At 39.0% G+C, this 15,382-nt stretch overlaps 1 pseudogene; it reads right to left on the bottom strand.

The window, feature by feature from the left end:
• Window positions 13,514-15,141, bottom strand: LDHAL6CP (lactate dehydrogenase A like 6C, pseudogene; annotated as a pseudogene).

Genomic DNA, 15,382 nt, shown 5'->3' with positions numbered 1-15,382 from the left:
TGTTAGCTACTAGGGATAGAAAGATGAGTCAGCTAGATGTATTTGCTGACTTGCGGTGCTTACAATACAACAGGGAAGACAGCTATTAAATAGTCACAAAATATAATGTAAAATTGAAACTGGCATCATTGTTAAGAAGGAAAGTGATGCAGTGATATTTTGAAAAGGATCTCATGTGGATGACTAAGTGGCTGTGTGCTATGGTTAGAGGGGAAAGTTACCCATTATTTTCAAGACAAACTTCATTCAATCCTTTACATGACTCAGTAAACAAAATAGAGAGTCGTGCTCTTGTGATGCATGCTGTCCAGTTACAGAAAACACACCAGACCTGTGAAAGACTTGATTTTATAGATTCCAGGCCAAAAGCAATGCTGGGTACCTTTGAATTTGCCCACTTTTCAGCTGTCTTTTTGATATTGATAAACAGCAATGCAGAGACGGATCAAAGGGTGGAAAACGCATGGCAAATGAGATTTGGATCAGGCAATTTAAAAGGCTGATATGTTTTGCATAACATCAAAGATCAAAATTACACTGCTGGCACTGAAATGACAGTTCAAGGAAGCAGTTGCTGCTAGAAAAACAAAAGGACTAACAATCTGACTTCTAGGGCTTAGATCTCATAGAGGAAAACTTATGGAAAAGAAGGCAGCAAAATAGCCAGCAGATCAGCTTCCCAAAACACCATCAAGGGATGTTATCCATCCCCTAAGGAAAAACCTTTTCAACAATAACTGTAAGAGTCTACCCATGACTGCTCGCCTGATTCGCTATATGGAAAAATAAGATTAATGTATTAATAATTTTAAAAGATGATGATATGATATTCAAATAAGCCTGTGAATGATTAATTCACTGGCTGTTTACATTCACTTGAATTCACTACAGAGAGTTTTGAACTGTGCAGAATATAGGTTTTTCCATTTGTACTTTAACTGGCATTTGTAGGCATTTTGATGTTTAAAAGTTGGCGTCAAGTTGTTGGATGGAACAATATCCTGAAATTTCAAAATTTTCTATAGGAAAGTCTGCCTTTTCTTATGCCTGAGGTTTCTAAAATTTCACATCATTGGGTATTTTCTTAGAAGAGCTTCCACAGCTTTCCTTAGACTTTCAGCTGGCGTCATGACCCAAAATAATGTAGAATCACAGACAATATCATGTATAACTTTTGGAACTTTTCTCAGAGATGTAATCTCTTGTATGTTTAAAGTTTCCTTTTTGCATAGGCATATAGAAGAAAATTTTTCCCATGCTTGTATATGTATGTATATACATACTAGAATGTTATAAATGAATAACTGTGTATGTCTAGGTGGGTACATGCATCTACATACAGATATAAGCATGAATAAATTTAAAATAAATGTAGAAATGTATGTCTTATAAATTTTCTCACTACCAACAGGTACCCCCAATAATTGTAAACTCTTTGACAGTGGGAACTACCTTCCATTTGTCTATTATAAACATTTTGCCCAGCATACAGTAGGTACTCAATAAAGTAATTGTTACAATAATGTGAGTTACCCAGTACACCCAGTCTAAAGCAATATATCCAAGGAAAAAAATGGAGTTCATTCATGACCCTTTGACTATGATATCAGAAATACATGAGAATCCGGGGTATATTGTTTGTTTTTGGAGGTTTTAACATTGAACTTTATTAAAATATATTTATAAAGATATAGTCTGGGCCTTTTTTAAAAATTTCTTTTACTCATCTATTTAAGAAATATATTGAAAGGATTAGGAGGTCAGTCATACAATTTTCACTGCACAGTCCAGCCATTGCTTTTCAATATAGAATTTTACACAAAGGGCTAATAACAAATAGAAATTGTTTACAAGATTTGACTGGGGAGTGGGAAGAAAGAAACCCTTAATGGGGAATATTTTCTGCAAAGAAAGATCTTTGCCCATATTTCAGAACATCCCCAGCCCTCTTCCTGGTTGCTTCCTCTTGCTTCTTCTCCTTTTCTTTTCTCCTTCAACTGCTTCCCTCTTGTCTTTCCACCTTGGACTCCTTTTCTTCCTCTAGATACCCATGAGCATTAGAAATAAAATGTAAACACATCCAGCCTAGTATATTAAATTCATACCAAAGTTTTGGATTGAAAAAAAACTATAACTGCATACTTGGAAGAGAACTTAAATTTCTCATTTATTCTGCTCATTTAACAGATGAGAAGACTGAGTCTCAGGCATTACCAACCATTATTCAACTAAAGGAATAACAGCACAAGTTTTAAAACAATCTAAAATGATTATTTTTCCATGATATTTGCATCAACGTGATAAATTAACCAACCACTAAGTGCTGATTGATCCTCTGATAATTTATAAGTTCTTACATGTGACAGATATAAGTTTGCTGGAGCTCAAGAAGAAAGAGATTGGTTGGGTGCAGTGGCTTATGCCTGTAATCTTAGCACTTTAGGAGGCCAAGGTAGGTGGCTCAGTTGAGCCCAAGAGTTCGAGACCAGCCTGGGCAATATGGCAAAACCCTATCTCTACAAAAACTACGAAAAAAAAAAAAAAACAGCCAGGTTTGGTGGCATGTGCTTGTAGTTCCTGCTGCTCAGGAGGCTGAGGTGGGAGGATTACCTGAGCTGAGCCCGGGGAGGTCAAGACTGCAGTGAGCCATGATTATGCCACCGTACTCCAGCCTAAGCTTCAGAATGAGACCCCCGTCTCAAAAAAAAAGAATAAGAAGAAAGAATTTTAAAAAAAGAATAAGAAGAAAGAAATCACAGGCTGAGTAGTCAGAGAAGATGGATTGGAGGCAGCAGGAGAGACTGAGAAGGCAACACTGTCAGCTTCATAAGGGTAGGACTGTGCTTCTCGGCTTCACTTACCAGAGTGAATAGTTCATTTTCCAGCATGCAGTGTACTTTCAATACATGTTGGTTGAATGAATAAGCAGAAAATGAGATTAAGCATGAAAAAACCAATATGATCTAAGTTACAGAGATGGGAATATGCATGATATTTAGGAGAATTAAAAATAAATCAGTCTAGCACAGACGACTTGAATAAAGAAGTAGTGGGAGGTAAGCTGGAAAAGTTGGTGCCCTTCTGTGAACTTCCCCAGCATCCTCAGCTCACTTCTATTACACCTTCACCATATTGCACTGTGAATGATGTTTTGCTTATCTGTCTCCCCCTCCAAAGGTAAACTCTGTTTTGAGGGCAAGAACCATGATCTCTATCATGGAGATCTTCATGATCTCAATTTATATTATCTTGCAAAATGCTCACAAAGACGGCACACCTTGATGTCAGACTAAGTAGCCTGGTTGTCATCTTGAAGGCAATGGATAATCAATTAATATATTTGAGTGGGAGCCTAATGTTATCTAAATGATGAGGTTTGACATGTTAATGTCCTAGCACGGGTAAGAGTTGGGATGTGAAAATGGTAGTGGGAGTGAACAGAAATGGGCCTAGATATGCAAAAGATATTGCATGTAATCCCAGATACACATTGTAATGGACACCATGCTCCAAAAAACACTAACATTCTTACTCTATTGATTCATTTCCAATTAACTACATTACAAAAATATCTTATCCACGTTGAGTACATAATAATCTTGGCTCTTACCTTTCACCATCTAGACCTTTTACTTTCCAGAGTACTATTATCTAGGGCATATTTACACCATGATCCATCATATCTTTAAAAAGTCTGACAATAAAAGTCATCACAATTTTATTCAGAGGAAAAAAGAAAGAACCTTATGACTTAACCTTGTAATTTTCATTAATTCTGTCAATAAAAGCATCAACAAACAATAGGAAAACAGATCAAATCAGGTCATCAGACCTTATTTTAGAATGAGAAAACAATGTTCTCGCATTAACTCACCTTAAAATTTTGATATGGAAATAAAAGCATGCTATTTTAAGACAGCAATTAGACACGGATCATGAATATCTAAAATTTTTAAAAAGAAACTTAACTAGAATGGGTTTTTAAGGATCTACACAATAACTTCTTTGCCCCAACAAGAAGCATTTCCATGGACACAACACTTGGTTCTAGAGCTGATCAAATATAAACACAGTTATTGAGGTTTAGGGAAGAAATGATGTAAAACCATCAACTTTGCTTTATGTATATTCTACTTACCAAGGATAACATGTTCATAGTAAGTCTAGTCTTATCAAGTACTGAGAATAAAGAGCCTTTCTAGGGAATCTATCTGTTAATAAGTCAATATTTACCGAGCATTTATGATGTGCCAGGGACTGAGTTAAACATGGCTTTATCCAATTATATTTAATCCATAGAACAACTAAGTGAAGTAAGCATTATTACCCTCCATTTTATAGGTGAAAAATGAAGCAAATCAAGTGACTTGTCCAAGGTCATACCCTGTAGCCAATGGAAAAAATATGGAATAGTGAGAAAGGATATGAGCCTTAAGAATCCAAAAACCTGAGTTGAAATAATGGTTCTTCTTATTAACAGCAGTGGAAACTTGGATGATTCACTCACTCTCTGTGTCTTGGCTTTTCATCTAAAACTTGCAGGCAGTATGTATAATAATTAGACTATGAACCCTGGAGCCAGACTGCCTGGGTCTGAACTCAAGTACTACCACTTACTGGCTTGTGATCTTAGACAAGCTACTTACCTCCATACTTTAATTTCCTTGCCTAAAAAGTGTGGATGACAATGATGATATTATTAAGAACTACCTCATAGGGGTGTTATATGGAGTATATGAATTAATAAAATGCTTAGAACTATGCCTGGCACATAGTAAATATTATGTGTGCATGTGTGTGTGTTGGCTATTACAATAATTATGACCTACCCCCCAGGATTGTTACAAAAAACACAAAAGAAGTATGTGAGACCACCAAGTTCATAGTAATATTCATTAAATATGAATCACAAAGGTTAACAGTTTAAAATTCAATGACAATGAGACCAAGAGGTAATAAAAGACATTAATAAAAGCTATGCTGCCATCACCCTTTTATAGAAATTGTCAAATGTCTGTAGGCACATGGTTCTGAGTTAGACAATGCCCAAAAATGCTGACTGAGCTTCTCCAGGCCATGGTAAGAAGTCTGCTTTTGTCGGTGGCACTGGTTTTTTTATTCTAAAGGCAGTGTCAGCTCACCCTCGCATTTGCACACAGAGTAGAGATGCTCAAAGTTTCACATAGGTATGGACAGACAACTACAAGCATCTGGTTCCTTCTGAGCCTCCAGGATCCAAATGTTGCCTAAATTGCAAAGACATTTCTAACACATGGGAGAATTCGGCTCCAGAAAGCTTCTACAGGAGAATTAAGAATAGGATCCCCGCATCTTGCAGGTGGCATTTGTGTTCAGCCGCTATTAATAGAGGTTCAGAAAACTGGCTTAAGCAAATTACTGGTAAGAAATTCAAAAGCTAACCATCCAGGGCTGGTACTGGAGTGTCATTAAGTCATTAGGGGTTAATCTGTTCAGGCATTCTAAATGTAGAGAGAAACACTATGATTTTGGTTGCTATCTGTTGATGAGAAGACCCCAGGCCCCAGATTCAACCACCTTCAGTCCTTAAATTTTGGTTTATTCGCTTAGGTGAGGTTACAAGAGTTCATGTCAAAATGGAGCTTTAAATCTCTCCTAGGTTTGTTCCACTAGGGCAATTTCTTCCTATCTAGACCCTGAACATTCAATAAGAACAAGCTTGTATAATCAAGAGAACTGCCAGGACTTGTAGTTGACAGACTCCTCTTGCTGTAGCTCTTTGGAAGTTTGCTTAAACTTAGTAACAAAGCTTCAGTAATGACCATGCTAGGGGCTAGGGTCTAGAATTTAATAGTGCAGTAAGAGTTTCCATTTATTCATCACAAACTACTGTGTCCTGCACTTTAGAAGCTTTAGTTCTAATATCTAATGCTTACAACAACATTGTAAGGCAGGAAATCTTCATTCCATTTTTTAAATAAGTGAAGAAACTGAGATTCAGATTAAATGAGGTGTCCAAAATGACAATGCAAATAAAGGCTAGATTATGATTCAAATCCAGTCATTATCTAGGTTGAGTAAACTGTGTGTGGGGAAGGTACAAACTTCTAGGCAGACTAGCAGTATGTCACTCCTTGCCTTCCCAGCTGGACCTCTGCTGTCAGAAAGCTAATCCCACCTCTGAATTCTCATTCATATCCTAACCTGAAGGGTGATATTGTATCAAACCCCTAACCTCAATAGGGAAGCCACCAGGCTCAAGAGGCCAAAGAAGAGACCCAGAGCTAGTAAACGAGACATGCGGCTTTATCAGATGCTAACATATAGGGGAGAGGGTCCAGTGGCAACAGGCTGGTCAGGAAAACTGCAACTGCCTGTAAACATCATGCAGTTTATAGCATTTTCACTTAACACCCCCCCCAACGACCTCCACCTGGCATTCTTCATTTAACTGAAAACTCAGGGCTTCAATCTCCTGTATGGCCCATGTTCCATGGGATGGGATGGGGCTCAGATGTTTATCATAGATAAGGGATGAATCTCTGGGTTGGCCACTACCAGATTATCTAGCTTAGAAAACACTTTCAGGTGCATCTGCCATAGAGAGTAATTCTAAGGGTATGCTTAAATTATTGTTATCAGGTGCAGTTACCCTACAGGTGTGTCTAGGGCCAGACACCGCCCCCCCCCCCCAGTATTGTTGCAAGCATTTTGCTCATTTGTTTTTTATTTGTTTTTGTTTATCTAACACAATATGCTTATGAAAGCAAGTCTGTTGGCACTAAATCCATATGCTTTCCTCAGATCCAAATATTTCCCCAAATCAATCCATTTGGTTCATATTAAAACACAGAAAAACCTTTAGTCAAGTGAGAAGAAGTCTGCTGACTACAAAAAATCACAATAATAGTTTTGGGGTTTCGATGTCACCAAAGGAAGACCAAGACTGGCCTCCCCAGAAGTTAAGGCAATTGAACCAGAGGTGGCTGTGGAAGCGGATGGGGCTGAGCCAGGAACCCAGCCTGGCAAGAGTCTTGGGCCTTCCAAGCCTGCCTAGGTTCACATTGAATAATTACAAGCAACGGGAGTATGTTAGGGCTTGGGCAAGTATCACCACTGAACAATTTGGTAGGAATAACAGGAAGCAACCAGATGTGAAGCCTTGACAATCCAATGGCAGGGAAGAAACAGGGTGATGGGCAGGGTCAGGAACCCCTCTGTGGTGGGAACAGTTTAAACATGATCTATATAAAGAACGAAAGAGTCAGATGCTACAGAGAAAGCACTGACCTGACGTAGCAGCCTGAATCACTTTCCAAGAGTGAGTTGTGCCAACTGCACCATGTTGACAGATCACTCATGATTTGCCTTGGTATCACCACCCAGGGATGGACCTTGTGCTGGGTTTTTCTAAAGCCAATTTGATCAAGCTACAAACTACATTTTCCAAATTTCCTGCTCTATATGCTTCCAGGTTACCATTGACTAAAAGAACTTAGGATTTGGGAGACAGAAATAAAGTAGCAGCTATTATTTTCCAAAGGTCTTTGCAGTCACATAGCATGACAGACTGATGCAGAGGTGCCCATCTGCATCAGACGATCCAGTCTGCTCACATTCTCCTCTGCTCCCTGTCCAACTCTTCTTCATGACCGCTGGCACTACTGCTTACCAGAGGCCCCATGCCCACCACCAGAAGCCCAGCTACAGACCCAATGAGGAGGTAGCTACATAAAATCAACACCTTCCCATAGACTTCCCCATGAACTTTCCCTTTGTGTTCCCACTTCAGGAACAGGATGTCCTTGACTGCTCTGTACATCCTGTCTTGTCCACCTGCACCAGGGTTTCAGGAAGATTGATTATTCCTTTAATTCTGATCTCCAACTCCTTCTGGACCCTTGCTTCCCCAGCTCTTCCCACAATTGTGTAAGGTCTTTTATTCCATATACTCATGGTAATTGTGCTTCCTCGACTAATAAAGTCATTTCTACTCTAAATGGGACCTTGTTCATCTAGGAAGTAGTGATTTCTCCTTTGGTCCAGGAAGCTCCCTTGTCTATCTTAGCATTCCTCCTATATCTACAGAGAGGAAGAGAAATGAAGAAGGCTGAAAAGAAGCTTAATTCTCTAAGCCAATGAGGTAGATAGTTTCTGGCTCTTCCTCTAGTATGGGCAGAGCTCTCATGATAGCATGTCCTACGTTTATTTCACCTCCTCCTTTACCCAAAGAGCAACTGGGTCTCCTGAATCTTCAGTGCAGGATGAGCAAACTCTGCCTTAATTTGCTCCGGCAACCAAGAAAGAGCATGGCACCAGCAAGTGGCCTAATGGCAAAGGACAGTGTTAGAATAAGAAGGAAACATGTAGGGTATTTTTCCAGACTTATGGCAAGTAACATTAATCCAATTAAGGTTAAGTTAAGCAAAACTGGTAACTATTTCATTCAATTATCAAGTCCAATGATGAGTCCCATTTGAAGCACAGCTGGATCTGGAGGTCCTGTTTCTCACCATTTCCTGAAACTGTTTCTCTAAGAGAAGTGGCTTCATTCTCAAGCCAGCCATCTCCCAGTGGTTAAAAAAAGAAAAAGAAAAAGATAGTGTGAATATACATTCCACAAGTTAACTACAAAAAGGAAGAATTCAGCTAGCTTTGGCATAAACATACAAAGAATGACTTTGATCTGGGTTAGGTCCAGTTCCTGGAACATTCATCATGGCCAGCAGAAGTGGGATTATAACAGTGCATGTACTATATTTTCCAGAATAAGGCTATGCTTCCATAGCAAAGAAACTTTTAAAAATAGTAATTCAATGGCTTCAAGAAAATAGAGGCATACTTCTCTCACATATTATAACCTGAGGTTATATTCCATAATAGTAAGGGCTCTGCTCCATGGAGTCATTCGGAAATCTAGATTTCTTCTACTTTGTTTTCCTATCAGCCCCTAGTGTCTGTGTGGTTGAACCTGGAGGAAAGCAAATTCATGCTCCAGCTTCTGGGAAAGAAAATAGAGCACCAACGAACCATTTCTGTTGTCTTCAGGCCTCAGCCTAGAATTTGTATACATTAATTTTGCTCACTGTCCATTGGTCCAACCTTAGTCACATGGCCAATGCTAAATGCAAGGGAATTGGGAAAATATAGTCTAGCTATGTGCCCAGGTAAAAAAAGGGAGTATGCATAATAACAATCTCCACACCATGGACCCAACTCTGTAGCTAGGAAGAGGTGACAAATGTCACATCCAACCCATGTAGAATGAATTCCCCATGGAAAGGAGGATTCTGATACCAGAAAACAGGGAACAGATATGTTCAGGCAAAAATAACAGATGTCCTCTACAGATAAGTACAGAATGGTACATTCAAGGACATGTTGAAGTCAAGCATGGTCAAAAGAGCAGGTCTCAGAATCAAGCACTCTCTAGCCAACCAGGCAGTATTTCTGATAGTGTGTGTTTCAGAACACCTCAGTAGTATGTAATGTAGGGGAGGAAAAGTAATTTTATCTCTACCCTTCATAGTTGTTAGTTGGGATGGATCCCTGTAACAAAAGACAGATTAATTAGAAAAATAAACAGAAGTTTAATAACATGTATACCTCATATATACCTGGGAGATAACCCAAAGAAATAAGTAAATCTCAAAGGCATGGTTTTGAGTTCAGGCTTAAGTACCGTCATCTGCTGAAACAAAGAAAGGACGGTGTGGGAAAAGGGTAGTTATGGAGAGATGCCCAGAAAAGCAAAGTAAACAAGGGTGTATTAATCTGTTCTTATGCTGCTAATAAAGACATACCCGAGACTAGGTAATTTATAAAGGAAAGAGGTTTAAGGGACTCACAGTTCCACATGGCTGGAGAGACCTCACAATCACGGCAGAAGATGAAGGAAGAACAAAGGGACTTCTTACATAGCAGTGGGCAAGAGAACTTGTGCAGGGGAACTCCCATTTATAAAACTATCAGATCTCGTGAGACTTATTCACTACCGTGAGAACTGCATGGGAAAGATCTGCCCCCATGATGCAATTGTCTCCCATGGGGTCCCTCCCATGACACATGGGAATTGCGGGAGCTACAATTCAAGATGAGATTTGGGTGGGGTCACAGCCAAACCATATCAAAGGTTAAGGGTAGTTATGCAGATTTAAGTCAGTGCCTTCTTCATTGATGAGTCTCCAGCAATTCAGTCTTCCTTTTCTTGGTAGAGATAGAGTGACATCCTTACTAATAGAGATTTCCTTTACAAATATAAATTTCCCTTATGAAAGGACAACTTCTACTCTGTTTTCGGAGCTTCCCCTGTGTCTGCAGTCTCTCAAATTAATCCGCTCAAAATAAGCTTCATGCCAAACAAATATTTTGGGGTGGCATATTTTGGTCTCCTACAGAGTCTTCATGCATATTTTTGACATATTTTTGGTCTCCTGCAGTAACTTAATGTTATTCTTTTAAAAGAGACTTGTGGTCAACTAAGCTTAGAAAACACAGGGTTAATCGAAATAAAGCAAGTCCTTTAGCTACAGTAGTTTTCAGTTTTTAACACAATAATCTCCAAGTTTGCAACTTGTGCCAAGCTCATGTAATGTCATTAAAGCATTAAGGCATTAAGACTATTGCCAGCAGAACAAGACTGCAAGAAAGTCTGCCCCGGAGCAAGAGACAGACAAGTTTCAGGGCTGCAAAGTGGTGACCCTGCCCACTTGAGCAGCGACACAGTGGACGCCAATTCATAACAAAATTCCCTCTTAGGTTAAGCTTCACTGGTGAAAGATAAACTCTGGTCTCAAATCTCGTGAATCCCATTCTCTAAAACTGTGCTATCCAATACAATGGCCACAAGCCACTGTCCGCTATGAGATTATTTAATAGGAAATCACTAAATGCTACTGATCATTTGCAATGAAGTTACTGCAGATTGACAAATTGAATTTATTTTATGTAAACGCATTAAAATAAAAAAACTGAAGCAGTGTAAAATATTTTTCTATTAAACACAAATGTCGTGTTTTGGTAGGTCTGCATTTCGCTTTAATCACTGAAAAATTAACATCTGAATTGAGTTGTGCTCTAAGTGTACAATACACACCAGATTTCAAAGACTTAATATAAAAAGAGTGTGAAATATTAATAATTTTTATATTGATCACATGCTGAAATAATATTTTGAATATATCAGTTTCAGTAAAATTATTAAAATTAATTTATTGATTTATTTTACCAACTTTTTAACGTGGCTACCAGAAAATTTCAAGTTTCATATGTGGCTCACATTACATTTATGTTGGACAGTGCTGCCTTGATCTTGTAAGATCAATTCCCCAAAGCAGGTCCTGTTTCCCCAGATCAGTGATGATGTCCTTAGATGCCCTCCAGATTCTTGTTACAAAGCAATCACAACTAATGAACAGACTTAAGGTAAAAGTTTAAAAAAAGAAAAAAAGAAAAAACAATTAGAAAATCCATTTATTTGCATATTTCTGAACTTGAATCATTTGTTTGAAGCCATTCTTCCTTTGCCTGCCTCATACAAATTACTACCTGTCAACAAAAGGAAATGTGTTTGAACTTTACAGGAATGCATAGAATTCCCATGCTGTATCTTTTCTAATGATAAGACAAGATCAAACAAATTTTCACCCCAAAAAAAGACAGTTAAATCAAGATCTAAGAAACGTATTCAGTTAAAAAGTGATTGCCCTTCAAGCTAAATCTCCAAACAGCACTTTAATTATTTTGTTGGATACTGTATTCAGACATCAGCCACATTTCAAAACAAAGAAATCAAGGAGATTGGAAAGGTCTATTCTGTATAAACTTTGTGAGCCTGCCATAGTAAAATCAGCCAGTATATATTGCGAAACTGTTCACGCCAACACTTAGGGACTTTCAGGGGTAAGCACCTCCCCCGTGCTGATGCCCATATTTGTACCCATGTTTGTAGGACATGACTCTTCTACACCCTAACCCCTGCTGACAGGATGGGGGGTCTGTATCTTAGCAAAGCTGGACAATCAGAATCTCTTCTTGGAATTTAGAATTGGAACACAGAAACTAGACTGCACTTAATTTCTGATGAGTGTTTGAGTTAGGAGATCTGGAAACGCAGAGGCTGGGACCAACATGTGCGGGCCGGAGCACAGTAAGATAATCTACAGTAAGACCCAGGAAAAATAAAGTTGATGTACCAATAGGAGCAGAGCCAAGAGATCAACTCTTCTGAAAAAAACAAAGCAAATAACCTTGGATTCAAATTTTCTGGGTCCTGGATCCAGTACCAAATGACAGATCTCTATAATTATTACTCTACAGTTATTAGAGATACCATCAGACATTCAATACATTCCCCACTTTTTGTTTCTGACCTGAGCTGGTTTGAATGAGTTTCTGTTCTGACAACAAAGTGATTCCCCTCTTTATTCAACCAGGCACTGGTACTCCTTGTCCATTATGAGATTAATAAGAAATAAATGAAGTTAATTATAAGGAATTAATTAATGATAAAATATAGTACCCTGATAGAAAAGGGCTAAAGGCAGATTATCTAGAATGGATATTTTAAGTTAAATTTAAACAAATATATGTGGTAGCCATACACTCATATTGCTATATTAGAAAGAGGAGATAACAAAAGCAAGAGGAAGAAAATAAAAGGGGAAACCAAGGCAGTTCCTGACTTTTAAGTTCTTTCCTTCAGCAGTGTCTACTCTTCCCCTTTTTGTTTTTACAAAATCCTCCAACAAAAGATAAGCTTGGTAAAGATCCAAAAAGTGGGAATGTACAAATTAACAACTAGTTTCTAAGCATCTTATAGGAACTCAACATTATATAAGGTTGTTGGGGAATCAGCAGAAAAAAAAGCATTGATCCTTACATGCAGAGAACTACAACTACAATCTAGTTAACATGTTAGATAACACCAGCACAAGAGTCATTACATGGACATAGAAAATTGAGGTGATTGCCTTATGCCTGAGTCCCAGAAAACATGGGTGGGTCCCATGGTATTCAAGTATTCAAGAGAAATACATGCCCCAAGCAGAATCAGATCCACAGCCAAATGGAATACATAGACTATCTTCTAGGGGAGACAAACTCATAGTGAGGAAGGTAATACTGAGCATTAAGTCTGAAGAGCAAGTTAGAAAAAAGAGAAAGCATGTGTCTTTATAGTACAATGATTTATAATCCATTGGGTATATACCCAGTAATGGGATTGCTGGGTCAAATGATATTTCTGGTTCTAGATCCTTGAGGAATCACCGCACTGTCTTCCACAGTGGTTGAACTAATTTACACTCCCACCAGTAGTGTAAATATGTTCCTATTTCTCCACATTCTCTCCAGCATCTGTTGTTTCCTGACTTTTTAGTGATTGCCATTCTAACTGGCATGAGATGGTATCTCATTGTGGTTTTGATTTGCATTTCTGTAATGACCAGTGATAATGAGCTTTTTTCATGTTTGTTGGCCGCATAAATGTCTTCTTTTTTTTGTATATGCATACTTTTATTTTTACATTGTAAATTACCACTTTTTTACAGCATATAAATGAACATAGGTATAAGCCAGCAAGAATAAATAGCATATATCTAGTGAAAAGAATCAGAATTTCTCAAACACAGTAAATACCTACATCCTACTTTTTAGGAACCAAATGCCAACTACATATATATAACAAGGTAAGTACTGCTATATCAGCATTACCAAAAACACTTTCTTTAGGAATTGTAAATAAGTATCATCCAGCACCTGGATGCTAAATAAAAGAGCTGGAAGACTAAATAAAAAGGAAAGTCACTCTACCCACTTTCCTGTTTCCATCTTTCAGGAATTCAAGTTTATTGAAAATTTTGATATATAATCCTGTATCTATGATCTCTTCAATAATTTCGGAATGGTAGTTTTAGACAACTTTAAGTCTCAAGCTCCTTCTGAATTTCCCAAAGTGTTTTTGCACTCTTTTTCAGATGGGCCTCCTCTTCAGGGGTCAGCTTTCTCTTTATAAGGTTGGTAATACCCTTCTCTCCAAAGAAGGAATACTGAGGAAGACTTCTTCATTTATTCCGTAGAGGCCCTTAATTATGGTGGAAACTGGATGTTTTCTCCTAAGATTCTTCAAAATACTTTCTGTTAAATCAGCTCCAGATAGGCCAATGGCCCACGAAGTAGAACTTTTCATTTCAATAATCTCATAGGCACTAGCAATCACTTCTTTGTGGACATTTTTCCATTTCTCAGGATCTTTATCAGTTCCTATATCAGAGTTCAGATCCTTCAAAAGGACACCAGCTATGTTCATTCCACTCCACACAGGAACACTTGAGTCTCCATGCTCTCCGAGGATCCATCCACGGCAGCTTTCAGAGTGGATACCAAGCTTTTGTCCAATGAAGAATTGAAAACGAACAGTATCCAGATTACAGCCGCTTCCAATAACACGGTTTTTGGGAAATGCACTCAACTTCCAGGCTACGTAAGTTAAGATATCTACTGGATTGGAAACAATAATTAGTTTGCAGAGGGGGCTCTGCTGGACAATACTGGAAATCATTAACTTGAAGATGGCCACATTTTGCCGGACTAAATTAAAGCGCATTTCTCCCTTTTCTCGGCGTGCACCTGCTGTGATAATCACTAGATGGGGGTTTGCTGTGACAAGGTAATCTTTGCTACAAACAATATTTGACATTTTCATGAAAGGGCTGTCATGTTGAAGATCCATTGTCTCACCTTTCAGTTTGCCTTCATCAAGATCCACAAAGGCAAGTTCATCACTCAAGCCTTTTAATAAGATGCTGGTAGCGCAGGCCATGCCCACTGATCCAGTTCCTGTGATGGAGACCTTTCTGTGATGAAAGGGCTCCTCGGAAGTGAAGCACTCAATAAGCTCACTCTTCACAGTCGCCATCTTGCTCACGGAGGTGAAGAGCCAGGTGCCCATGAGTGGCATGCACGCTGCCTGACGGGGACACAGGGCCATCCCCAGGCACAGAAAATTCGCTCCTGCCGAGCTCACTCTCTGGCTGGCCCACACAACAGGTACAGTCCAACTCATGGCTGCTCACTCAAGAAGTGGAGGGAAAGAATGGAAAAAAGCCGCTGACCAAAACGTCGAGACGCCAAGAAAGCCGTGGGCAGCACCTTCAGCCCTCTGTGGCGGGTGCGCACCACCCGCCCCCTGGCCCTCTACTGCGGCTGCGCGGCCCTTGCCAGCGCCTCCAACACGTGCTTTCCGTGGGTGCTCAGACTAAGGCAATGAAGGGCTGCTTCTCTAGCAAGTGATTTCTGGAGTTAGTTTTACAAAGAGTATTCTCATCAATAGTTGACATGCTTAAGAGACTAACCCAGATCCCTGGAATTACTAGTGTTTTCTATTTTTAGTATGAATGTCAAG

The sequence above is a fragment of the Homo sapiens genome, chromosome 12 (assembly GCF_000001405.40).
Source record: "Homo sapiens chromosome 12, GRCh38.p14 Primary Assembly".
NCBI classification, from domain to species: domain Eukaryota; kingdom Metazoa; phylum Chordata; class Mammalia; order Primates; family Hominidae; genus Homo; species Homo sapiens.
Note: the sequence above shows the minus strand (reverse complement) of the source record. Positions and strands in the feature narration are given on the sequence as shown.